The following is a 27,823-nucleotide window of genomic DNA, read 5'->3' on the forward strand; positions in this document are numbered from 1 at the left end:
CACAGTCCATAGTCATTCAGACCCGACTATGGCCCCTCATGGCTCACAGAGAAACAAAGGTATTGTCCATTCCAGCAGATAAGCTTTAATTTGATGAAAAGGGGAATGCAGTAATTCTTGGGGAGGAGTAACCTATCATTAGCATCTGTTGTGTTCCTTCTCTTATGTAATTGGGATTTGGGGCATCAAAACCAGGACCCACAATCTGAACATATTCGGTAGAACAATGGGCAGGGGCTGTATGAAATTGGTTTTACCCAGTGAATCCATGATTTGTTGCCACTAAAGGAACAGGCTGCACTTCCAGCTCATCTTGAAAAAACTGCCAAATTCTTTTGCAGTGTCACTCCCCCAGCATGAACTTTCTACCTTTTATGTCTTGCCTGTGTTATACACCTCAACCACCCCATATCCTCAGAGATGCCCAAGGCCAAATCCCCAGAACCTGTGAATATGTTACTTACATGGCAAAAAGGAATTAAGCATGCAGGTGAGGTTGATGTGGCTGATCAGCAAATGGGGCAGTTGGTCCCATGTAATTATCCAGGTGATCACAGTGTAATCACAAGCATCCTTAAGTATATTCTTATACTTAAGATATAAGTATCTTATAAGAGGGAGCCAGAAGCGTCAGGACCAAAACCTTGGCATTGTAGGAAGACTCAACTGGCCATTCTGACTTTAAAGATGGGGGAAGAGGGATGGGGTCATGTGCCAAGGAATGTGAGTGGCCTTGAAAAGTTGGAAAAGGCAGGGAAATGCATTCTCTCCTAGAGTCCTCGGAAACAGTAACTATTACACTTTCTTGTGTATCCTGCTATACATGTGCATGTATACGTATATAAAATGTGTGGATAAAGCTGACTTTTCAACAGATAAATAGAATTTAGAAGATAATGAAATGACATCCTTAATGCTAAAAGCAAATGACTATCAGCCTAGAATCCAATACCCAGTGCGAATATCCTTCAAAATAAAGACAAATGTTGTTATTTACTAGCTAGGTAACCTTCAAAGATCTGTGGCAATCTCAGTTTTCTTACTTGTAAAGTGGAGATGGCCAATTCTACTTCCTTGGACTGTTGTAAATATTTAGTGAAAAAATTATATAGAATATTAAATACAGTGCTTGGCACAAGTGATTGTTAAAAAATGATACTATATTAATTAACATTTTCCCAATTAATAAATTAAAAACAAAGTAATGATGTTTCAGACAAAAGCCAAAATAATTTGTCACAAGCATACCAATTCAAAAAGGAATACTGAAGAAATTTACCATGAATGAGGAAAATTATCCTGAAGGGAGCATAATGATGTGGGAGGAATAAGAAACAATAGAATAAATAAGAGGATAAAACTGTTTAAAACAATAACAATCATGATGTTTGTATTTGTCTCTGGCTGACATAACAAAGTACCACAGACTGGAGGGCTTAAACAACAGAAATCTATCTCACAGTTCTGGAAGCTGGAAGTCCAAGGTGTGGGTAGGGGTGGTTTTTCCTGAGGCCCCTCTCCTTGGTTTGCAGATGCTGTCTTCTCCCTGTGTTTTCACATGGTCTTCTCTGTGTGTGTGTCCGTGTCCTCATCTCCTCTCCTTAGAAGCATACCAGTCATATAGGATTAGGGCCCAACCTAATGACCCATTTTTCCTTTACTACCTCTTTAAAGGCCATATCTCTAAATATAGTCATATTCTGAGATGTTGGGGGTTAGGACTCCAACATGTAAATTATTAGGGTGAGGGACACAGTTCAGTCTATAATAATGCCTTCGGGGGTTTAAAATATATACCAAATTAAGATATATAACTAAATAGTATAAAAGTTGGGAAAAGGATAAAAGGAGTTAAAATGTTGTGAAGTTCTAGAGTTGTTCAGGAAGATTATGATATATAGAAGACTGATAATAAGATACAGATGGATGGTATACTCTCTAGGCCAATCACAAAGGGAATGATACAGAAGGAAATAGAAATCATAAAAACATTAATTCAAAAGAAGCCAAGAAAGGAGAAGAAAAAGGAAATTTTAAAACATAGCAAATAGGAAACAAAGGGTAAATGATAAATTTAGATTTAAATATATTTGAAATCACATTAAATGTAAATTAAATAAATATTCCAATTAAAACACAATGATCATCAGATTGGATTTTTTAATAATAGCGACACTAAGCTGCTTACAAAAGAGACATCCTAATATATGGTTAGGTGTAAGAATCTGGAAAGTGTGAAAGTAAAATAATAGAAAACGATATACCCTTCAAATATCAACCAAATGAAAGTAAGTACAGCTATGCAATTATCTGACAAGTTGATCTTAATTGAGAAAGCATTACTAAAAATAAAGAGATATATTTAATAATGATAAAAGGATCCATCTATTAGAAAGTCACAATGATTCTAAATTTGAATATACTTCAAAATATAGTTTTAAATCTGTAAATCAAAAATTGAAAGAATTAAAAGAGGAAATATATAAATCTATAATCATAGTTAATTTAACATACATCTCAGTAACTAATAGAACGAGGAAGCCTAACATCAATAATTATATAAAGAACTTGAAGAACATGATTAATAAGCTGTTGGCATAGTGACATATGTAGAATACTAAATTCAACAACCACGGTATATATTATTTTCAAGTGCACTTGGAACAAACACCAAAACTGACCTGAGCCACAAAGTGAGTCTCTCAAAATTTTAGAGGATTGAAATAATAGAGAATGCATTCTCTGACCAGGATAGAATTAAAACATTTTTAAAAAGCAGAGATAGCTAGAAAATCACCAAGATTCTTGGCCGGGCACGGTGGCTCACTCCTGTAATCCCAGTACTTTGGGAGGCCGAGGCAGGTTCATCACGAGGTCAGGAGATCGAGACCACGTTGAAACCCTGTCTCTATAAAAATATAAAAAATTAGCTGGGTGTGGTGGCGGGCGCCTGTGGTCCCACCTATTTGGGAGGCTGAGGCAGAAGAATGGCATGAACCCAGGAGGCGGAGCTTGCAGTGAGCAGGGGTCGTGCCACTGCACTTCAGCCTGGGCAACAGAGCAAGACTCCGTCTCAAAAAAATAAATAAAAAACAAGAAGAAAGAAAATCACCAAGATTCCACATACAGTGAAGAATACATTCTAAAGAATCTATAGATCAAAGAGAAAAGCACCATATAACTTAGAAAATATTTTGAACTGATTAATGAAAATAGAACATGTCTAAATATATGGGGTATAGCTAAAGCCATAATCAGAAGGATAAAGTGTTAAATGCATGTGTTAGAGAAGAAAGGTTGAAAAAGAATAATCTAAATGTTGATCTAGAAAAGTTAGAAAAAGAATAGCAAATGAAACCAAAATACAGTACAAGGAAGGAAATAATTATGATAAGAGCAGAAATCCATGAAATAGAAAGCAAGCATACAGCAAAGAAACACAACAAAAGGAAAAATTGTTTGTTTGAAAAAAAGTTAATAAAATGGATAATCATTGGCAAAATGAGCTAGAAAGAAGACAATACATAAATTATCAATATTATGAAGAAAAGGGGATGTTATAAAAATGTCATACCAATAAATTTCAAAATATAAATAAAATAGGCAAATTCCTGGTAAAGCATTACTTGCCAAAACTAAGATAAGATGCAGTAGAAAATCTGAATTGTCATCCATGTATGAAAGAAAGTGAGACTGTAATTTAATTCTTTCCCACAAGTAAAATTCTATGCCCAAATTCTTCACTAATGAAATCCTTCTAAACATTTAAGAAGGAGTGACACTGATCTCACACAAACTCACCCAGGGATAGAAAAAGGGAACACTTTCCACTTCATTTTATGAAGCCAGTTAACCTTGATACCAAAATCAGCAAAGAAAGAAAACTTATAAGCCAGTCTCCCTAATAACGTAGTGTAAAAATACTAAATAAAGCATTAACAAACCAAATTGAGGACCTAATCAAAAGTATAATAAAACAAGTCCAAATTGGATTTATTCTAGGATGCAAAGTTGATTTAATGTTCAAAAAATTAGTCAATGTAATTTGCCACACTAAGAAAATAAAAGGACAATCAACTAAATAGATGCCAAAAAAGCACCTGATAAAATTCAACACCCATTCACGATAAAAGAAAAAAAAAAATTCTGAGTGTGGGATTAGAAGGGAACATTCTTTAACTGATAGAGTAGCTTGGAAGAGAAAGAACTCTAAAATAAACATCACACCTAATGGGAAATATTGAAAGATTTTACCCAAATAAAGAATGAAACAAAGATACTCAGTCACCACTTCTATTCAACATTATAATAGGCAGTAGTTGCAATAAGGAAAAAAAAAAAAAAAAAGCTATCAAAATTAGAAATAATGGGAAATGAAATTGTAATTATTTTTAAATAACATGATTGTGTACATAGAAAATCCATTTAAAAATTAACAGAAAATGCATTAGCATTAATAAGTGAATTCCACAAGGTGATAGATATAAGGTCAATATACAAAGTTTAATTATATTGTTATATTTCAGCAACAAAAGAACACTGAAATTTAAATGATACAATTAAAGTAGAAGCTACTGGAGCAAGTAAGTAACTAATGGGCAGGCAAACTTAAGTGGTAATTGACTGATTTATGGAAGCTAAGTGTGGACTAGCTTGAAATTCAAAGACTCTTTTGGGTTCAGGCTGGCAGGAGGGGTGGTGGGAGAGTTCATAATTTCATGAGTTTTACCTCCTAGAGACAACAAAGTTACCAAAGTGAAGATCAAAGAAAAATCACTTCCTTCTTCCAGCAAGGGGAGAGGAAAAGCAACCATTTTTAAATATACCCAGGGAGATCTGTTCTCTTTAACAAAGGCCTTTTCTCAGAGGAAACTACTTTACCAAAACCTGAAGCCTTGAAAGAAGGAAGTACCCAGCTCTATCTCCCTCTAACCTTCTTATCTCACCTACACAAGGGGAAAGCTGAGAAGCACTTGTGAGGGTCACAGCCCAGGGGCACAGGCTTACTAAATGACTAAGTCCTAATCATGGGACTATAAAGATTTTTCCCTCTCCTCATACATTACCACCACATTAACAGGCTCCTGTGTGATAAACAAGATTACAGCAGAAAGAACGATAAAGCTAAGGCTCAATTTAAGAAGGAGTCTCTAGGAAAATCCCAAGACAACAAAGAACACAAAAACAAAAAGGCTAGAGGAAATGGAAGGCCCTAGCACCTCCAGCTACAGCAGCCGTTAAACACAGCTTAACTTCTAGCCATATAAACATAAACGCTCATAAACTAAAGGCCTGTTTAGTTTCTATTACTCAATAAATCATTTCTGGCTTTGAAAACAAAATTATAAACCATACTAAAAGGCAAAACACCAAAACCAAAACAAACAAAATTGTCTGAAGAGACAAAGCAAGCATCAGAACGTGGCTCAAATATGACACTGATTTTGGAATTATTAGACCAGGAATTTAAAAACCCTATTAAATGTGCTAAGGGCTTTAATGAAAAAAAAAGTGGACAACATGCAAGAACAGATGGGCAATATAAACAGGGAGAAAAATTCTACAAAAGAATCAGAATAAAACATTAGAAAATAAAAGCACTGTAACGAAAGTGAAGAATGCCTTTGGTGTGCTCATTAGTATGCTGGACACTGGCAAGGAAAGAATCAATAAGCTTTAAGATATGTTAATAGAAACTTCCCAAACTGATATGTAAACAGAAAAAAATAAGGGGGAAAAAAGGAACAGAATATTCAAAAGCTGTGGGTCAATTACAAAGGGTGTTAAGATACACATAGTAAGTGGCCAGATATGGTGACTTATTCCTGTAATCCTAGCACTTTAGGAAGCATAGGGGGATACTGTTTGAGCCCAGATGTTCAGGAGCAGCCTGGGCAACATAGTCAGACACCATCTCTACAAAAAATACAAAATTTAGCCAGGCATGGTGGTGTTTGTCTGTAGCCCCAGATACTCAGAAGGCTGAGGTGGGAGGAACTTCTGAGCCCAGGGAGGTAGTGGCTGCAATGAACTGTGATCATGCCACTGCACACCAATCTGGGTGACAGAGTGAGACCCTGTCTCAGGGAAAAAAAAATAAATAAATAAGAATATCAGAAGAAGAATGAACAGAAGAAATATTTGGATTAATAATGAGAATTTCCAAAAATCAGTGCCAGAAAGCAAACCACAGATTAAAAGGGCAGAGAACACAATGAGGATGTTTTTAAAAATCTAATTATAGCATATTCAAATTGCAGAAAACCAAACACAGAGAATATCTTGAAAGAAACCAGAGGAAAAAAACACCTTACTTACATAGGAGCAAAGATAAGAAGTATACCAGAATTCTCTTGAGAAATTATTCAAGCAAGAAAAAAAGTAGAGTGAAGTATTTAAAGTGTTGAAAGAAAAAAACCACCAACCTACAATTATGTATCCAGCAAAATTATTCTTCTGTATTTGTCCATTGTTGCACTGCTGATAAAGACACACCCAAGACTGGGCAATTTATACAAGGAAGAGGTTTAGCGGGACTTACAGTTCCACGTGGCTGGGGAAGCCTCACAATCATAGTGGAAGACAATAAAGAGCAAGTCACATCTTACATGGGTGGCAGCAGGCAAAGAGAGAGAACTTGTGCAGGAACTCCACTTTTTAAAACCATCAGATCCCATGAGACTTATTCATTATCCCCAGAACAGCACAGGAAAGACTTGCCCCCATGATTCAGTTACCTCCCATTGGGTCCCTCCCACAGCACATGGAAATTCAAGATGAGATTTGGGTGGGGACACAGCCAAACTGTATCACCTTCAAAAGCAAAGGAGAAATACTTTCTCAAGTAAAAACTGAGAGAATTTTTTACTGGTAGATCTGCCTTGCAAAAAATTATTTTTAAAAAGTTCTTAGAGAAAAGGAAAGTATATAGGTTAGAAACTCAGAAATATGTAAAGAATGAAAAAGTGTCAGAGAATGAATAAATAAAAATAAAAATCTTTATTTTATTCATAATTTTTAACTGTCTGCTCAAAACAATAATAGCAACAATGTGTTCGATGATTATAGCATGTGGATAAATAAAATAATTGGCAGCAGTGTACTAGGGGATGAATCAGGAATACTTTACCTGCACTACCCATTAAGCAGTATGATGTCATTTGAAGGTGGACTTAGATTAGTTGTAAATGTATTAATGTATTGCAGACTCTAGAGAAACCACTAAATTTTTTTTTAAAGAAGTATAATTGATATGCTGAGAGAATAGAACATTGAATTATGTAAAATCCTCAATTAAGACCAAAGAAGGCAGAAAAAGAGGGGAAGATAAAAAACAGCTACAATAAATAGAAAAGTTACAAATATGGTAGATATTAATTCAACTGTATCAATTATCATTTTAAGTGGAAATGATTCAAAAACACCTTCTAAGAGACAGAGATTGTCAGAGCAGATCAAAGAACAGAAACTAACTATATGTTGTCTACAAGAAATACACTTTGAATGTAAATCCACAGATAGATTACAAATAAAAGAATGTCAAAAAGCACACCATGCTAACCCTTATCTAAAGACAGGAAGAGTAGCTACGTTAATGTCAGACAAATCAGACTACAGTTTAAGGAAAACTATTAGAGATAAAAAGCAGCATTAGAAAAGGATAAACTGGTCAATTTTCCAAGAAGACATAATTCTTAAAGTATATGGGCCTAAGAACAGAGCATCAAAATACGTGAGGCAAAAACAGAACTGCAAAGAGAAATAGACAAATTCACTATTATACTTGGAGACTTAAACACTCCTCTATCAGTAATTGACAGACATGGCAAGCATAAAGTAGTAAGAATTTAGTTAACTACATATCATTATCAGTCAACTAGTTCTAACTGACATGTATAGGACAGTTGTTGACTTCATACAAGAAGAGCATAATACACATTCTTCTTAAGCTCACATGGAACACTTAACAAAATATACCACATGCTGAGCCATAAGACACACCTTAACAAATTTAAAAGAATAAAAATCATGTAAAGTATTCTTTCACATCACAATGACATTAAATAGAAATCAATAACAGAAAAACAGAAGGAAAATAACAAATTATTTAGAAATTATACCACACACTTATAAATAATGCATGGGCCAAACAATGAGTCTCAAGATAAATTTAAAACTATTTTGAATTAAATGAAAACAAAAATACAACTCAGTATTTGTGGGATTCAGTGACTGAAAGCAGTGTTATTTACTTCAGTTTCTATTACTCAATAAATGATTTCTGGCTTTGAAAATAAAATTACATATACAGCACTGAATGCATATGGTAGAAAAGAAGAATAATCTAAAATCAGGATCTAAGCTTTCAACAAAGGAAACTAAAGAAAAAGAACAGTATAAGCCTAAAGCAAGCAGAAAATAGAAGTAACAAAAATTAGAGCAGAAATGAATGAAATTGAAAACAGGAAATCAATAGAGAAAATTAATCAAACCAAAGCTGGTTTTTTTGAAAGATTAATAAAATTCATAAACCTGTAGCCAGTCTAGCCAAGGAAAGAGAGAAGACATAAATTACTCATATCAGAAATGAAAGAGGGATCATCACTATTGATTCCATGGACATTAAAAGGATAATAAAAAAAAATACTATGAACAACTTCATGCCAACAAATTTAATGACTCAGATACATTGGACCACTCCCTTGAAAGGCCCAATCTACCAAACTCACACGTGGAAAAAACAGATAATCTGAAGATCCCTATGTTAAATAAAGAAAATAAATAAATAAATAATAACCTTCCGGAAAAGAAAGTGTCCAGCCCAGGCAATTTCACTGGGGAATTCTACCAAACATTAAAGAAAGAAATGATGCCAATTTTTCATAATCTCTTTCAGAAGATAAAAGCAGAAGAAATACTTTCTAACTCATTCTATGAGGCCAGCATTATCTTAATACCAGAATAGGTATAAGGACATCATATAAGGACATTACAAGAAAGAAAAACTATGGACCAGTATCTCTCATGAACATAGATGCAAAAATCTTCAAAATATTAACAAATAGCATCTAACAATGTATAAAAGGAATTATACACCACAACCAAGTGGGATTTATTCCAGTTATATAAGTCTGGTTCAATATTGGAAAGTCAAATAATATAATTTATCATATTGGTAGGCTAAAGAAGAAAAATCATATGATCATATCAATAGATGCAGAAGAAGCATTTGACAAAACTCAACAGACATTCATATTAAAAATTCTCAGCACTCTAGGAATAGATGGGACTTCCTCAATTTGATAAAGAACATCTACAAAAGCCTACAGCTAACATACTTAATGGTGAGGAACTGGATGCTTTCCTCCCAAAATCAGAAAACAGGGGAAGGATGTCCCCCTCACCACTTCTATTCAACATTGTACTTAGAGTCCTAGCTAATGTAATAAGACAAGAAAAGGGAAAGAAGGCCGGGCACGGTGGCTCACGCCTGTAATCCCAGCACTTTGGGAGGCTGAGGCAGGTGCATCAAAAGGTCAGGAGATCGAGACCAAACTGGCTAAAACAGTGAAACCCCATCTCTACTAAAAATACAAAAAATTAGCCAGGCTTGGTGGCTTGTGCCTATAGTCCCAGCTACTCAGGAGGCTGAGGCAAGAGAATCACTTGACTCTGGGAGGCAGAGGTTGCAGTGAGCCAAGATCGTGGCACCGCACTCCAGCCTGGACAACAGAGCGAGACTCCATCTCAAAATTAAAAAAAAAAAAAAAAAAAAAGGAAAGAAAAAAAAGACAAGAAAAGGGAAAGAAAAAAAGCAATATTGGGATTGGGAAGGAAGAACTTAGTTCACAAATGACATGAATGCTAATGTGGAAAATTTCAAAGAATTGACCAAAAAAAAAAAAAAAAAACCCCACAAACCACCTGAAACCAATAAATGAGCAAGCAAGGTTGCAGAAAACAAGATTAATACACAAAAGTCAGTTGGGTTTCTACATACTCCAATGAACAATTGGAATTTGAAACACAATACTATTTACATACCAAAAAAAACTTTACACATAAATATAATAAAATATTTAAAAGATCTATATGAAAAAAAGTACAAACCTCTGGTGAAAGAAATCAAAGAATATCTAAATAGAGAGATCTTCCATGTTCATGAATAGGGAGACTCAATATTGTTTAGATGCCAAATCTTTCCAACTCTATCTATAAATTCAACATAATTCAAATCAAAATCTCACAAGTTATTCTATGGATACTGAAAAAATAATTTCAATGTTTATATGGAAAGACAAAAGGCTCAGACTAACCAATACGCTCCCCAACTTTAAACTTACTGTAAAGCCACAGTAATGAAGATAAGATGATACTGGTAAAATAATCAACAAATTGATCAGTGGAACAGAGTTAAGTGCCCAGAAATAGACGCTCACAAATATAGTCAACTGAAAAAGGGGCAAAGGCAACTGAATGGAGAAAGAACAGTCCTTTTGATAATAATACGGGGGTAACTAGACACCCATATCTTAAAAATGGGAGATAATACCTAAACTAAAATCTTCCCAAAGTTTTAATTACTGGTGTTAAACTTCTTGGAGCGCAATTATTTATTTATTTATTTATTTAGAGACGAAGTCTTACTCTGTAGCCCAGGCTGGAGTGCAGTGGTGCGATCTTGGCTCACTGCAACCTCCGCCTCCCAGGTTCAAGCGATTCTCATGCCTCAGCCTCCCAAGTAGCTGGGATTACAGGCCTGCGCCACCACACCCGACTAATTTTTTTGTATTTTTAGTAGAAACGGGGTTTCACTGTGTTGGCCAGGCTGGTCTCGAACTCCTGACTTCAAGTGATCTGCCCGCCTCGGCCTCCCAAAGTACTGGGATTACAGGCGTGAGCCACCGTGCCCAGCCAAGGAGAGCAATTTTAGGAGGAAGGTATGGGGAGTAACCACTGGGCCCCAGGAGTTGTTTTGTTCTGTTTGTGTGTGGTTGTGGGTGGGGCAGCTGGGAAGGAAATGTCAGTGGAAAAAGGAATGCAGAAATGGATTTTTCTTTGCACCCCATCCTACCAAGCTGCACCTCTGCCTTATCCCTTTCTTCTGATAGCATCTTTTATGACTCCATTTATTCCAGAAAGCCTCACCCCGCAAAGCTCTTCCTGATATCCTTTCCACCTAGGCAAGCAGGTAAGGTACTGCCCCGCACCCACGACCCTGGAATCCTGTTATTGTCCCGACTCAGTCTGACCCGTGGCTGGCTGTGATGCGCTGGGATTCCTCAAGACCCCTTTCTGGGTTGGGTGCAAACCAAGGGTGACTGACTCATGCTAAGGAGCCTGCACTGCCTTCTCAGAGCACAGCTCTGCCCTCCAGGACTTCACTCTGCTTCTGTTTGGGCAGGGTCTGCCCACTGCTCCTTATCTTGGTGCCACAGTAGATCTTTGGTATTCAGGTTAATTAATCTCACCCAAGCGTGCCCTTTGCTTCAGAGAAGTATTTCTCACACTTGGCTTTAACAGAACATCAGGTCCAGGTGCAAAAGGCAACACAAATGAGGTCTATTTATCCACCCACAAAACTGCCTTTCCCTCCAGAAACAGGCTGACAGAGATATCGCCTACTGTCATTCTGATTCCTTCAGTCCCAAGGTCATGAATAGTAAAATAGGCAAACCAGCCACCCTTGCCTGCCATTGGTCAATAATCTATTACCAAGTAAAATCTTACCTGGAGCCTTCCTATCAACCCCACCTGAACAAAGCGCTGCTCTAAACCTTAATTAAACCCACATTGTTCTGGGTGGTGTCTCTCCAGGCAAAGCCGTCCTTTGAAATTCAGATTCCTTGCACAAATGCATTCTGGCATGACGCTCCCTGTTGCGAGTTTGCTAGTCTAGCTATCTGAGAATAAATTATGCATTTGTCCAGGCTACAGAAAGCTACTGGAAAGTGGATTTTCCATTTAGCATTTGTATCACTCAACTCTCTTTACACTGGAAATGGACTCCAATCCACTATTTGCATTTATAGATCACAGGGCTAAAACAAAGTTAGTTTTCTCCTCGCAAAGAAAAAAAAAATTCCCTGTAATATTTTAGCTGATGTGACAAATGAGAGAAACCTGGGGACATGCTGAAGTTTGAAGCTGGTGCTCACTTTCATCATTGCCTGAGTTTTCCCAAGCAGCTTTTGAAGAGTGAGGAACTAAGTTTTCTTAGAAGAGTAAATGTCTCACAGAGGGGTCACCCTTATACCTTGGATGTTGAAACTTTGTACTTCTGGAACTAAAGCAGTTACCACGGTGCTGGGCATTGGGGGTAGGGCTAAGGCGTTCTAACCTCAGGAGGGCTAACAGTTCGGGGACACTCTTTTTATCTTTGGCGACCCCATTTTTTTCAAGCCCAAAATGAGGCCAGGTGATCTGGCAAGTTTTGTGTTTCTAACATTGTGACAAACCCCAGAATGATATTGCATCACGGAAAAAACTCCTAGGCCCAGGCAACTGGGACCCCTGGGCTAGGCCCCACACTTTGGGGGGCCCATCTGGCCTTTTCCAGCCACGTCTACGGCCATACCACCCTGAACGCCCCCGATCTCGTCTGATCTCGGAAGCTAAGCAGGGTCGGGCCTGGTTAGTACTTGGATGGGAGACCGCCTGGGAATACCGGGTGCTGTAGGCTTACTTTGTGTCTGACCCATGTTTCCCTGAGACAAAACACCAAGCTCACACCACACTCACACCACAAAACAAAGAACGGGTAAAAAAGGCACACACACACTTTTTCAGTTTACACCAAACCAGAATCAAAACCAAAATCAGAGTATCCAGAAATCCAAGCCAGGTCAAAACCAAAACCAAAGTATCAAGCAATTCAAGTCAAGTCAAAAACAAAAACCAAAGTGCCAGTACAGGCACGCCGTGGGTGATCAGGCCACGCTTCCACTCAAATGGAGTGGGCAAGTTCCAAAGACCAGTCTTACCAAGTTTCAGATGTCCGGACTCCAAGTGCCAGTTCCTTCCCGGTGTTCAGCCACTGCATTGATCCTCCACCGGGGCCTGCCACGCGCTGCTCTGACGAGGTGTCCAACCGGGGCAACTGCCTACCCCGGAGCGCTCTCAGGATCCGCGTCACTCAAGCTGGCCAAATAACTCTTCGGCCAGTTCTCCCTTGCACGGCAGCAGCACAGTGAGAATGTTCATCACAGAATTTATTCAGTCTCAGGGCGGTGTTTCTCCAGGTGTGGACTTCAGAATACCACCAGGTCAGAACCACCTGGGACCGTCTCCAGACCTACTGAGTTAGAATCCCTAGTCAGTGGCTCGCAGACCAGGGGCTGCAGACCAGCAGCATGAGCATCACCTGGGAACGTGTTAGGAACAGGCTCTAATTCTCAGGCCCCACCCCAGACCTTTTGAATCAGAAATTCTGGGTATGGCACCTGGAAACGTGCTTCACCAGCCTCCAGGGGATTCTGATGCAGAGCAGTGGCCAGGGGTCAGCCCCAGCAATTTCAAAGAGCTCCCCAGGTGCTTCTGACACATGGGTAAACTGAAAAAAAGGAGAAATCAGGGGGGAAACAAACAGAAAGTCCCAGGAGTCAACAGAATCTGACTTGGGATTTATGAGACATGCTCTGGGTCCACAGCCCCCTTCAGGGTCTTGGCCCTGACCTCGTCTCGTTCTTCCCTACCTTCACACGTGAGATGCTACTGTTAACACTCTAATAACAATCGATGCTTTTAAAGCTGCGACCCTTTAGGTCCACCCCAGGAAAGACCAATCCCTTGCTTATACCTAACTGTGGCCTGCCCTCTTTGTTCTGTTACTTTCTGATTATAAGTCTCTTCCCTGATAGATGATTCTGGAGAGAAAACAGTATTGGAGGCTGTTGATTGGAAAAGTAGCTCCTAATACCATCTTTGCATGAGCTCTCTGGAATAGCCAAATGTTCTAGATTCTGTATTTGATATTTTGGCATCTTGGAGCCTGGCTGATGGTAGAGACACAGCCCCTCCCAGAGTTAGCCAGTTCCCACAGACAGTACAGGATTCACCTACAAACACATCTTTCACATTCAAGCCAACCAATCCAGAGCCCACACCTCCAACCACCTCCTTTATTGGGCTCTCACACTCAAGGCCACCAGTTACCAGTCCCAGTCACTCCAGGGCCAGGTACCAGACAACTAAGGCAATTCTATGGCCCAGAGCCTGCTGTAATTTTCCAAGCCAGCCAATCCTAAGCCTGCCTCACCTGTTCCTTCTCACAATAAAGCCTTCTGCCCATAGCTTCCCCCTTTCCCTCTGCCTCCTGACTGACCTGATGCTTCCCTGTGTGGCCCAGTGTACGCCCTCCTCCTGGGAACTGTGAGTAATAAACTATCTCTTCAATGGCCATCATCTCCTGGTCTGTTGGCCTCACCATACCTGAATAATAATAAAACCTACATTTTCAAGCACCTCTATCTTCCCTTAGGAAGGAAGTGGATATCCCTGGAGACATTAAGCTTTGGGCTGATCCTTAAGACATCTGGCATAGAGGTGTGGGAAGGTCTGTGCCACCAACCATGTTGCAAGCAGACTAGGATTGCAACAACTGCCTTCTTCAGAAGCACAGCTCCCCCTCTCCCAGGAATTTTCCTGACAGATTCTTCCCTTTGTCTCTACAGAAGAAAAGGGAGTGAAGGGGCAGCAACTGAGTGAGCACAGGTGGGGAGATGGGTAGGAGATCTGATGCCAGGGTCAGTCTGCCTCATGCAGGCCCACTCCTCCACTAACTGGCTGAGAGATCCTGGGCAGCACCTCCCAGAGTAAGCCAACGCCTAGAGGCATACAGGACTCACCTGCAAACACACTCTACTTACTTACATCTGCTTGTGTCACTGTTTTCTTAACTGCAAAATGGGGATTTAACCCCACCCGCTTCATGTAAGGAATAAAAGAGATAACATACATAGGGCTCCAGGACTGGGTGCAGCCCATGGAGGCACTTCATGAGTGGTTAGCTGTGAGTGAGGTGCACATTAGCCCTGTCCCAGCAATCCCCTAGTCCTCGTGTCACCACCACCAGGAAGCCTTTAACTTTAGAGACTAAGAAACTGCAGTATCACATATTGACATGTAAAACTATGCTGTCACTGATGCAACGGTTTGATGGATTAATTTGGGGATGTAGAGGGCCACCTGAGATGGCCCCTTGAATGGAAGATGTTCCATTCTCTGCTTCCCCATCCTTTGAATGCCACTTTTTTTCTCAACAGCAGTGGTTTTCAAAGTGTGGTCTCTGGACCAGCAGCATCAGCATCACCCTAGGCCTTGTTAGAAATGCAAATTCTTGGGCCTACTAAACCAGACACTCTGGGTTTGGGGTCCAGTAACCCATACCCTAACAAGCCCTACAGAAGATTCTGATGCATGCTTGCTATGGACTGAATATTTGTATCTCTCCAAAATTCCTGTGTTTAAGTCCTAATCCCCAATGTGAGGTATTACGAGGTGGGGCCTTTGGGAGGCTCTGCCTTCATGAATGGGATTTGCCCACATAAAAGAGGCCCAAGAGAGCTCCCTTGCCTCTTCCACCATGTGAGGATGCAGCAAGCTGTGCGTCTATGACCCAGGGAACAGGCTCTCACCAGACATCAAATGTGCCAGTGCCTTGCTCTTGGACTTTCCAGCCTCCAGAACTGTAAGTAATAAATTTCTGTAGTTTTTAAGCCACCCAGTCAATGGCAATTTTTTGTTATAGCAGCCTGAACAGAGTAAGACAACACTCAAGTTTGAGAACTACTGCTTTATCACAGTGGAACCACTCATGCAGTGCTGGATCTAGAGCTAGCTAGGGAATAGGGCAACTTCCTGAGGGGTTTGGAATCCAATTTCTAATCAATGGAGCATATAATAAATAAAGACAATATGGCCATATCTGAAACCTGCTGTCCCTAGGCCCACACAATTTATATCATCCCTGCGGGTGATGAAAAACGTTCCACCTACCATGTCTTCAGCTTGTCCACTGGCCGCTTCTTCAGAGGGCTCCCTCGCCTGCCAAGGCCTGATTGATGCTGTCACAGCACCTGAAAAAGGGTTTAAGGCAGGGAGATAGGGATGAGAGTTTGCTTAAGATAGGGCTATTTGTCCCTGGTGGGTCAGCATTCCTTATCAGAGACTGCTTCAAACAACATTGCTGATAATAACATATCCCCTCAAAGGCACCAAGAGAGTCTGTCCATCTTAGTTTGTGCTGTCCATAACAAAGTATTATAGAGTGGGTGGCTTATAAACAACAGAAATTTATTTCTCACGGTTCTGAAGACTAGGAATCCAAGATCAGAGGGCCGGCATAATCATGTTCTGGTGGGGGCCCTCTTCTGTGTTGCAGACTGCCGACTTCCCATTGTATCTTCACAAGGTGGAAAGAGGACCAGAGAGCTCTCTCTTTCATAAGGGCACCAATCCCATTCATGAGGACTCCACCCTCATGACCGAATCACCTCCACAAAGGCCCCATCTCCAAATACCAACACATTGGGGATTAGAATTCAACATAAGAACGGGGCAAGGAGTGGATACCAACATTCAGTCCACAGCACTCACCATCTCTCAGAAGGTGGAAGGAGATGTCCGTGTCTAAAATCTGAATTGCTCTTGGCTTGTTTAGTACTGTCATGTAAAGTAAAGCACACAAAATCCACATAAACTGCTGAGAAAGAGATCTATTTGGAATGCAAATGGAGCCTGTCCTTAGGTCTACACAGGTAAACATGGAAGATACCTGGGAGAATTTAGCTCTGAAGTTGAGGGTGTAACTACAGTTGCATTTCTGGGACATCGCATCGCAGGAAAACTCTTTTCCCATTGATTGAGACCTCCACTCTCAGCCCCTCTATTTCCTGCCTTCTTGCACCCTTGCCTACCCCTCCTGCCCTAGCTCAGACATGGTCCATCAATTTCAGCCATATTTGCCAGTATCCCCTACCCCAGTTCTCCTCAAACTTGGACCCCAGACCAGTTAAAGCTGAATGTCTGTATTGGGATTGAAGCCTCAGTATATCTTTTAAGTTCCCCAGGTGATTCCCATATGCAGCCAAGTTGGAGGACCAGGGTTCTACTCTGCGCTTCCTTCACACCTGCCACAGACACCAACTCTCCAATAATTGCAGTGTCTGCCTCCTCAACACCTGTCCCTGGCCACAGAGCCTGGTGGGGACAACCACATCCTCTCATGCTCACCTCCTTCAGTTCTTCCTGGGCCTGCCAAACTCTAGTGTGCAGTTGGCCATCACTCCCCCATTTTCCATACTGGTCATTTCCAAACTTCTCCATCCTCCTCAAAAGCTTCTGTCTTCTGCTCAGCATACCCTTCCTCAGGGAATTCACCTAACTCCTGCCACCCCACTTATGGATTTACTGCCCCATTCTTTCTGTCACCCTCTCATCACAGTGAAAGGCTGATTCCAAGTTCTGCCCAAGACTAACCCCCTTTCTAGGTTCTTTTCTTTTTTTTTTCTTTCTTTTCTTTTTTTTTTTTTTTCAGATGGAGTCTCGCTCTGTTACCCAGGCTGGAGTGCATTGGTGCAATCCCGGCTCACTGCAACCTCTGCCTCCCAGGTTCAAACGATTCTCCTGCCTCAGCCTCCCAAGTAGCTGGGATTACAGGCACCTGCCACTACGCCCAGCTAATTTTTGTATTTTTAGTAGAGAAAGGGTTTCACCCTGTTAGTCAGGCTGGTCTCAAACTCCTGATCTCAGATGATCTGTCCGCCTCAGCCTTCCAAAGTGCTGTGATTACAGGCATGAGCCACCGCGCCCGGCCCCCTTTCTAGGTTCTAATCCCCTTCCCAGACTGTCGCATCTATTTCAGTTACCCCTTCTTTCTTTGGTTTTCAGCTCTTCCTCTGGATGGACTTTCCCAGCAGTATTTAAACATGCTCAGGCTTCTACCATCAGTGCTATTTTTAAATGTCCATCACATTCTGTCTCTCCCTGATCAAACTCTTCCACAGCACCTTGTCAGCACTTAGAATAGAAAGTCTGTATGCAGGAAACACAGACTCTTTGGTCTGGGTATGATGGTTAGTTTTATGTGTCAACTTCACTGGATCACAGGGTGCCTAGATATCTGGTTAAACATTATTTTGGGTGTGTCTGTAAGGGTGTTTCTGGGAGAAATTAACATTTGAGTCAGTAGACTGAGTGAAGCAGATGGTCCTCCCCAAGGTGGGTGGGCATCATCCATTCCATGGAGGGCCTGCATAGAGCAAAACGGCAGAGGAAGGGAGAATTTCCTCTTTGCGTGCTTGCTTGAGCTAGGATATCACCCTTCTTCCCTCAGACAGAAACTTGCACTATCAGCTCACCTGCTTCTAAGGCCTCTGGACTTGGACTAGAATTTATACTACTGGCTGTCTTAGGTCTCCAGCTTGCAGATAGCAGATTGTGGAACTTCTCAGCCTCCATAATCAAGTGAGCCAATTCTGCATAAATCTCATATATAAATATATATATAACCTGATGAATGCACTGGACATGCCATACAAATATCTCTTCGTCTCAGAAACCTGACATGGCAGGCCTATTTTAGGCCCTCTGGGCTCTTCCATGGGGGTTAGGAACACAAGTGTCCCCTGTTCTTAGACCCTAAACTTATCCAGGTAATTCCATCTCCATCTCTCCAACCACCAATACTGCCCCTTCTTGGGGACTCACAGCAGCATCTAATCCTCTGGCTTCCTCTCTGACTCTTCTCCTTCCCTCGGTCCAGGAATATGTATCTAGGCCTAAATGGGGAGGAGCTATTGGGGGGAGTCTAGCTCTGGCTGGTGATATAGTCTTCCAAATGGATCATGAGTCTTTGATGGTTTTGAAATCCAAAAGGCAAGAATTATTTTCTTGTCTTTTGCATTCTACTATTTTATCCCTTCTCTAAAGTAAGAAAATAAAAACGATTGGGAGGCCGAGGCAGGTGGATCATGAGGTCAAGATATCGAGACCATCCTGGCCAACATGGTGAAACCCCGTCTCTACTAAAAATACAAAAAATTAGCCAGGCCTGTGGCGGGCAGCTGTAGTCCCAGCTACCTGGGAGGCAGAGGCAGGAGAATCACTTGAACCCGGGAGGCGGAGGTTGCAGTGAGCCAAGATTGCACCACTGCACTCCAGCCTGGCAACAGAGTGAGACACTGTCTCAAAAAAAAAAAAAAAAAAAAAAAAAAAAAGAGTAGCTAGCTGATAGGTAGGAAGATATATAGAGAGGAAAACAAGTATCTGTTAATATTTCAAAATCTCTTTCTCACCTCATGGGTTTAATAATGTAGCCAATAGTAGATCTTAATATATCTAAATCAGAGCTAACAAACGGAAACTGTGGTCAAAGCACAGTGTGATGACACATTTGGGAGTGACAGTGATTGCTTGACCAGCATAGGGGTAGATCTTTTGTGTAGGAGCCCCGTCAAAGCTGACGCAATGGATACAACCAAATCCTTCATGATTTCCAAGAGACTGCTGGCTGTCTACAGTATCTGATCTCCTTTTCTCCATACTAATTTCAGCATTTTTAGCTGAGCACATGGCCACCCAGAACAAAGACTGCATTTTCCAGCCTCTTTTGCAGCTAGACTTAGCTTTGATAGTTCTGGTAGACGGAATGGGAGCGTGTGTTATATAGAGTTTGTAGGAGCTTTCCTTAGAGACAATGATGGTGTGAGTGTGGGTGCGCTTTGCCTCTTTTCCACTTTGTATCTTCATGCTGGCTAGACTATAGATGTAATGGTTGGAGCTAAAGCAACATTTGTGAACCATAAGGTGGCAGCCACATATTGAGCATAATGGAGAATTAGGAGAGAAGGAACCCGGATCCCTGCTAATCATGGAGCTGCAACAGCAACCTTGGCCTGCCTACATTTACCTGAAAGGGAAATAAACTTCTATCTTGCTTAAGATCCTACTACTTTGGATTTTCTGGCCTGTGTAACTGAACCTAATTCTAATATATCATGTAGCACCAGGAATGGGATTCTGAAGATAGCTTATTTCAATAAACTTTTGCTGTGAAGCAAAAGGCAGTGAGGACTCAATATCGCAGTTTGGAAAGTTGGTGACTCCTATTATTTCAATTGCAAAATAGTTAGCAAAACCATCAACTGTGAGCAATGCCATGCCAAAGCACCTTGGAGCCAAAGGCAAAAGGAAAAATCAACAACACTGATACTGTTTTTATTTAAAATTTTGATATTCATCATATTTTTGCATTAATTTTTATTTTAAAAAAAATCACATTAAAATATTATTTATCTTGATTACTGAGACATTCTCTGTGCCCCTTTAAATTTTGCACCTGAGGTGAGTATTTCACATATTACCTCGGTTTTAGCCCTGCTGTGATGTGAAGTATTATGAGGTTATACCACATCCCAGCCAAGGGCATTACCCGTAAGAGGTCTAGAATACTTATTTGTGTTGTCACTTCTGACTACCTTCAACAAAGTCCTATAAGAGAGAAACTAAGTCCAATTATAGCTAGTTTATCTACAGGCAGAGATGAAAGTGAGGCTTTTTATGCCTGTGTTTTGCAATCTAAATTCACTGAGAGCCATTTAGACCTCCTCAGCTGAAAACGTCAACTGCTTCTGCAGCCCAAACTAATGTTATTATAAGCAGTGACTTCAAAGTGACAGCCTGTGGCCACATGTCTTTTTTAAGCAACTTCCTTTAGGTTATCTCTGCTGGACAACAGGAGCCTCTCCAGCAGCAAAGTCAAATTAAGGTTTTTGTCTTTCCACTTAACCCTATGCATCAGATGGCCTCAAGGGAGCCACCGTGGAGTTGAAAGAGAGGTAGGTGGGTAGAGCACAGAGGCTGGTAATTCAGACTAGATCAGGCATGTTCAGAGTGGGATGGCCATAGATAGAGGCTGCTCATTCAGTCTTTAGGTTAAACACTTTGTCTAGACAGATATTCAATAGTGGTTGTTTGCACAAGAAACCAACTGAAGCCAGATAGGTGAAAAGCTTAAACTTTTGAGGAACTTAAATCACTAAACTGACCTGATTTACAAAGCTGACCTGAAATAGCCTGAATTATTCAAACTTTGAACAGCTCTATGACCCCCAGATCTGGTCCAGCTGGAGGTGTGTGCAACCCATGAAAAGCACACACACACACACACACACACACACACACACATATATGTATATATATAGTCTCTGCCTCTAGTTCCTGACACAGAGCTCCCAGTTTCTCAGAATTTCCTGGGGGGTAGGAGCATCTTTTGATCTAATGAGATGACTTTTCCTGGGCTTCTGCATGAGGGCTGGTGACTAGACAAACCAAGCCATGATTAGAAGCTTGAAACTTTCAGTCCCACCCTCTCATCCTCTTTTTTTTCCCTCCGTTTCTTTCTCCAGAAAAGGGAGAGGAGCTGGAGACTGAGTTAATAACTGATCATGACTACATGATGCAGCCTTCGTAGTAATCCCTGAACTATGGGGTTTGGAGAGCTTCTAGGTTGGTGAACACGTGAAGGTGCTGGGAGGGTGGTAAACCAGGAAAGGCCATGGAAGGTCTGCACCCCTCCCACATACCTTACCCTATGTACTTCTTTATCTGTCTCTATCATTTGTATTCTTTAGTAAATAATAAGCCAATAAATGTAAACAAGTGTTTCCCTGTGTTCTGTGAGCCTTCTTAGCAAATTATTGAACCCAAAGAAGGGTCGTGGGAACCCTGATTTGTAGCTATCAGTCAGAAGTAAAGGTGATAACATGGGATTTAAGATTGGTTTCTGAAGTGACGGGCAGCCTTGTGGGACTGAGCCCTTAACCTGTGGGGTCTGCAGTAACTCTGGTTAGTGTCAGAACTGAACTGAATCGCAGGACACCCAGTCAGTGTTCACAGAAAACTGGAGAATGCCTTGGTGGGGAAAAACACACTCTCCTTATTTCAGTGATCAGAAATGTTCTGTGTTGTGAGTGTGATGAAATGCTAGTATAATTTATTTCACACATTTTGAAAGTTCTAGCACATTTTCAAGAGTCAGAGAAAATTTTTTTCAAAAGCATATTCATTGCTTTTTCTGTAAAAAGGCATCAACAATAGCCACACAGTATTTATTATTGAATTAAATGCAAAAATGCATATGGAAATTCTTAGGAAATTTCAAAGCTTGGTATAAATACAAGGATTTTATGTAATGTGGGTTCACAAGTTCATGGCTAACTCAAAATCGAGACTTTTTTACAATTGGAAATCAACCCCTGCAAAATATGCTTGAAAATAACTACAAAAATAAATCACACCAACAATTTTTGGCCAATAGACCAGCTATTTTGCTCTTTGGTAAACTCACTAAAACAGAGGGATTTATTGATATTCCTTCTTTGCTAAACAGAATATTCTGGGAACACATGCAGAAAAGATAAATAAATATGTGTTCTGATAGAGGAGTTGAAACGAATATGGAATTGAAAGCCATCAGAACAAAGCCAATAATCATTTCTGAGACTATGATGATTCCACATATGCCAAATAAGTGTTTCAAGATGCGTCGGATCCATTAACTATCACTGGCCAATTCAGAAGACACCAATTCTGGGTACCTGCCAACCTAATTAGATATTTTTGTTTCCCCAAGAGATAATTGCAACATGCTTATCATGTATTATATACACATTGAGACTAGGTTCATTTGAAAATATACTCATATGTATCCTGGGATTCATTGAACTTGGAGAACATTTTCCTCTATAAATGAGGTACTTTCAGATCTCTACAAGCAAAATTACAAAAACTGATGAAAGAAATGGAAGAGGACACAAATAGAAAGACATCCCATGCTCATGGATCAGAAGAATTAATATTATTAAAATGACCATACTGCCCAAAGCACTCTACAGATTCAATGTAATCTCTATCAAAATACTAACATCATTTCTCACAGAAACAGAAAAACAATCCTAAAATTTATACAGAACAAAAAAATATCCAGACTAGTCAAAACCATTCTGAACAAAAAGAACAAAGCTGGAGGCATTACACTGTGTGCCTCAAAATATATTACAAGGCAATAGTAACCAAAACAGCATGATATTGGTATAAAAACAAAGCATTGACCAATGGATAGAATAGAGAGTTCAGAAATAAATCCACAAATTTACAGCCAACTGGTTTTTGACAAAGGTGCCAAGAACATGCATTGGGGAAAGAACACCCTCTTCAATAAATGGTGATGGGAAAATTGAATATCTATATGCAGATGAATAAAATTGGGCCCCTCTGTCTCAGTATATGCAAAAATCAACTCTAAATAAATTAAAAACTTAAATGTAAGACTAAAACCTGCAAAACTACTAGAAGAAAACAGAGAGAAAACACATTAGGACATTGGTCTAGGCAAATATTTTATGGCTAAGAATTCAAAAGCACAATGAAAACAAAAATAGACAAATGAGACTATTTTAAACTAAAAAGCTTCTGCACAGCAAAGGAAACAGTCAATAGAGTAAAGAGTCAACCGATTGAATCAGAGAAAACATTTGCAAATTATTCATCCAGCAAGGGACTAGCATCCAGAATATATAAGAAACTCAAACAACTCAACAATAAAAAACAAAAGCAAAACAAAACAAAAAACAAATAACCCTATTAAAAAGTGAGCAAAGGTCATCAATAAACATTTCTCAAAAGAAGACACACAAATGGCCTACAGATATATGAAAAAAAATGCTCAAATCACTAATCATCAGGGAAATGCAAATTAAAGCTATTATGAAATATTATCTTATTCCAGTTAAAATGGCTATTACTAAAAAGACAAAAAATAACAGATGCTGGCAAGGATACAGAGAAAAGGAAATTCTTTTAAACTGTTGGTGTGGAATATAAGTTACTACAACCACTATGGAAAACAGTATGGCGTTTTCTCAAAAAACTAAAAATAGAACTACCATACAATCCACTGGGCCCCTATCCAAAGGAAAAGTAATCAGTATGTTAAAGGGATAGCCGCACTCACATGTTTATTGCAGCACAATTCAGAGTAGCCAAGAAATAGAACCAAAGGATGAATGGATGAAGAAAATATGGTTTATATACACAATGGAATACTAAAAAGAATAAAGTCATGTATTTTGCAGCAACATGAATGAAACTTGAGGTCATTATGTTAACTGAAACAAATCAGACACAAAAAGACAAATTCACATGTACTTACTCAACTAAAAAAGTTGACTTCATGAAGGTAGAGAGAAGAATGATAGATACCAGACACTGAGAAGAGTATGTGAGTGGGAGTGGGGCTGAAAAGAGGTTGGTCAATGGGTACAAACATACAGTTAGATGGAAGGTATAAGTTCTAATGTTCCATAGCAGAGTCGGCTGACTATAGTTGGTAATGAATTATTATATATTTCAAAGTAACTAGAAGAGGCCAGGCCCAGTGGCTCATGCCTATAATCCCAGCACTTTGGGAAGCTGAGGTAGACAGATTACTTGAGCTCAAGAGTTCAAGACCAGCCTGGGCAACAAGGCAAAACCCCATCTCTACAAAATATTCAAAAAGTACCATACGTGTTGGCATGCATCTGTTATCCCAGCAACTCGGGAGGCTGAGGCATGAGGATTGCTTGAATCTGGGAGGCCAAAATCACACCACTACACTCCAGCCTGGGCTACAGTGTGAGACTCTGTCAAAAAAAATAAAAAGTAACTAGAAGAGAGAACTTTTTTTAATAGTGAAACAATTATTATTATTTTTTATTTCCACAGTTTTTTGGGGGAACAGGTGGTATTTGGTTACATAAGTAAGTTCTTTAGCAGTAATTTGTGAGATTTTGGTGCACCCGCCACCCAAGCAGCATAAACAGAACTCGATTTGTAATCTTTTTATCCCTCACTTTCTTCCTACCCTTTTTCCCTGAGTCCCCAAAGTCTATTGTGTCATTCTCATGCCTTTGCATTCTCATAGTTTAGCTCCCACTTACAAGTGAGAACATACGATGTTTGGTTTTCCATTCCTCAGTTACTTCACTTAAAATAATAGTCTTCGGCTGGGCGCGATGGCTCACACCTGTAATCCCAGAACTTTGGGAGGCCAAGGTGGGCGGATCATGAGGTCAGGAGCCTGACCAACATGTTGAAACCCGGTCTCTACTAAAAATCCAAAAATTAGCTAGGCATGGTGGTGCACGCCTATAATCCCAGCTACTCGGGAGGCTGAGGCAGGAGAATCGCTTGAACCTGGGAGGCAGAGGTTGCAGTGAGCCGAGATCGTGCCACTGCACTCCAGCCTGGGAGACAGAGCGATACTCTGTCTTAAAAAAAAAAAAAAAAAAAAAAGCCATGAAATTTTCTACCGTGTTGAATGTGGCTTTTTCTTCATTAAGTATTCCATTGGTTGCAATAGATCTTTGACTAATTTTCAGAGCTTCTATACGGTTATTTTAGCCAGTCTCTAGGAGTTTGTTCTTCTTGTTGCTATTGTTATTCTCTTAGTGTTTCTGGGGAAAACAAGGGCCTGAAGCTTACTAATCCACCATCTTGCTAACATTACTTCCTTACATTAATTTTAATAAACTCTTTATTTTAGAATAGCTTTGGATTTATAAAAAAAAATGCAAAGAGAATTCACATGTATCAGTTTCAGTTTCTTGACATTCAGAGGTTTGTTGGGATCTGGATACTAAAGAAATTTATATGGAAAGATAGGAAAAATGGTCAGAGAAAGGGAAGCAAGCACACAATGCTACAGCAATAAACAACCCCAAATTCTCAGTAACTTTGAATAACAAAGGTTTATTTCTTGTTCAGGGTACAAGTCCAACCAGGTTAGCACAAGGACACTATTCATCACTAATGAACACTCATGGTCCCAGACTGACAGCACAGCTATTACCTCAAATGTTGCTGGTCATCGTGGCAAGAGGAAGTGAGGTAAAGGCTCTGCATCTTAAAGCTGTTTTTTTTGTCCATTTCACTGGCCAAGAAAAGTCTCATGGCCAGGACTGACTTCAGTGGGGGAAACTTTAATTCCACCATGTGCCTGAAGTCAGAGAGCCAGAAATGTTAGAGCTGGAGCTACTGGTAATGACAAGGTCTAAGCTATGTCCTTAGGAATGAACAGACAAGATTGGATGAAGGACAAAGCCACTGAAGGAGAGTAGGTCAAGAAAGTGAGAGTTCAGAGTGTAAAACATATTACCTACATGCATATTTAAATCATTAGAAATTAAGACAAGGGTAATGTTGGATAGAATAACAGAAAACCCAGAGTTAAAATTAATAAGAAATAAGATAGGGTTACCCTTGAGGTCAATAGGGTTACCCTTGAGGTCACTAAATGACTATGACCATGAAGTCAAGGTCAAGATAGGATAGGGACAAGATAGGATATTCAAAGCTGCAATATTTTAGGGAGGGAGAAGAAGGGAGAATGGTCTGAGAGAAAAATGAATAGTAAGAAAGACACCCAGGCCATCTCCAGACCCAGGAATTAAAGGGCTGTAGGAGAGAAAATAGCCGCCACTTAAAGGACTGCAGGAAAAACAGGGTCCTCAGGGGGAATCCAGGTTTCCTTAGAGCAAGAAAGTGAAAAATGTTCAGAGAAGAGATGTAAAATATAAAGGATTTTGCTGCATGAGTTTCAGAGGACACAGTGCCAGGGTTGCATCTGTTGTGGAGGAATGGGAGGTAGACATAAAAGAATGTGCTGAGCTATGTGAGCATTTAAGCAAGGGAAATGAGGGGTGATGTGGGAGTCTCAGGCCTCTGATGGAAACTGAAGTAAACATACATAAAGGTCATCAAAGATTAGTCATGATGGACCTGAGAAAATAGCAATGGCAAAGCTGTAAGGGTTAAGAAATACAGAGGAAAGTGTGTCATAGCTCCCTCTGCAAGGTGGCAGTCCAAGTCCAAACACACATATCTGTCTTGATGTCTGTGGATGAAAGGAAGAAAGTATGTGAGGCCAGGTCCTACATTGAGCAATCATAGAAAATGCTTTCTTCTCTGCCCACAGACTGGTCAGCTACAACTGGCCTGGCCTGAAGACAAGGCTAAAGAATTACAGAGGAAGCTGTATCCAAAGTGGACACCATTGCCTCTGACAGAAAGAAGCTCAAATGTTACATTCAACAAAAAATATGTGACAGCTTTTATATATAGTTCCATTAGTTGGAGTTTTAATATTTATGTGTTGTAGTAGAAGTTCTTTTCTTACTTCTGCATTCTTTCCAGTGAAATAGAAATGCAAGGGCATCAGTGGAGGAGGAGAGAGATGGTACAAAACAGTTGATATTGAGTCTTTTTATCCATGAACATTGTATCACTCTCTATTTCACTCTTTTTTTCCAATAAGATTTAACAGTTTTCTGTATAAAAGTCCTAAACACCTTTTGTTACATTTATTCCTAGATAATTTATATTTTGTTTCTATTTCAAGTATACCTTTTTGATAATGACTTTTTAAATTTATTGCTGGTTTATAAAAGTGCATTTGATTTTTGCATATTGTTCTCTATTCTAGCCACTTTGATAAACTCTCATTAATTCTGACAATATTTTTCTGTAAGTTCTCTTGAGTTTTCTATGTAGACAGTCATATCACCTGTAAATAATGAATTTTGTTCCTTCTATCCCAATGCTTATATCTTCTATTACTTTTTATTTCTTCTTTTTCTCTTTTCTTTCCTTCTTTTTTTTTTGAGATGGAGTCTCACTCTGTTGCCCAGGCTGGAGTGTAGTGGCACTATCTTGGCTCACTACAACCTCCACCTCCTGGGTTCAAAAGATTCTCCTGCCTCAGCCTCCCCAGTGGCTGGGACTA

The 27,823-nt window shown here is 39.9% G+C and overlaps 2 long non-coding RNA genes and 1 pseudogene across 2 annotated transcripts in view; 2 read left to right on the forward strand and 1 right to left on the reverse strand.

Annotated features, from left to right (window-relative positions):
* On the forward strand, window positions 1-27,388 carry LOC107986560 (uncharacterized). The gene is made up of 3 exons (XR_001743934.1): window positions 1-59; window positions 25,807-25,929; window positions 27,017-27,388. It is a non-coding gene; the product is annotated as an uncharacterized LOC107986560 (long non-coding RNA).
* RNA5SP202 (RNA, 5S ribosomal pseudogene 202) lies at window positions 12,564-12,682 on the forward strand (annotated as a pseudogene).
* The window catches only part of LOC105374894 (uncharacterized), a 154,998-nt gene continuing 140,623 nt past the window's right edge, over window positions 13,449-27,823 (reverse strand). Inside the window, exons 3-4 of the long non-coding RNA XR_007059418.1 lie at window positions 15,997-16,076; window positions 13,449-13,552 (exon numbers count right to left, since the gene is read on the reverse strand). This is a non-coding gene — a long non-coding RNA (uncharacterized LOC105374894). The remainder of the gene's footprint in view (window positions 13,553-15,996; window positions 16,077-27,823) is intronic.

Source organism: Homo sapiens, chromosome 6 (genome assembly GCF_000001405.40).
Source record: "Homo sapiens chromosome 6, GRCh38.p14 Primary Assembly".
In the NCBI taxonomy this organism is placed as follows: domain Eukaryota; kingdom Metazoa; phylum Chordata; class Mammalia; order Primates; family Hominidae; genus Homo; species Homo sapiens.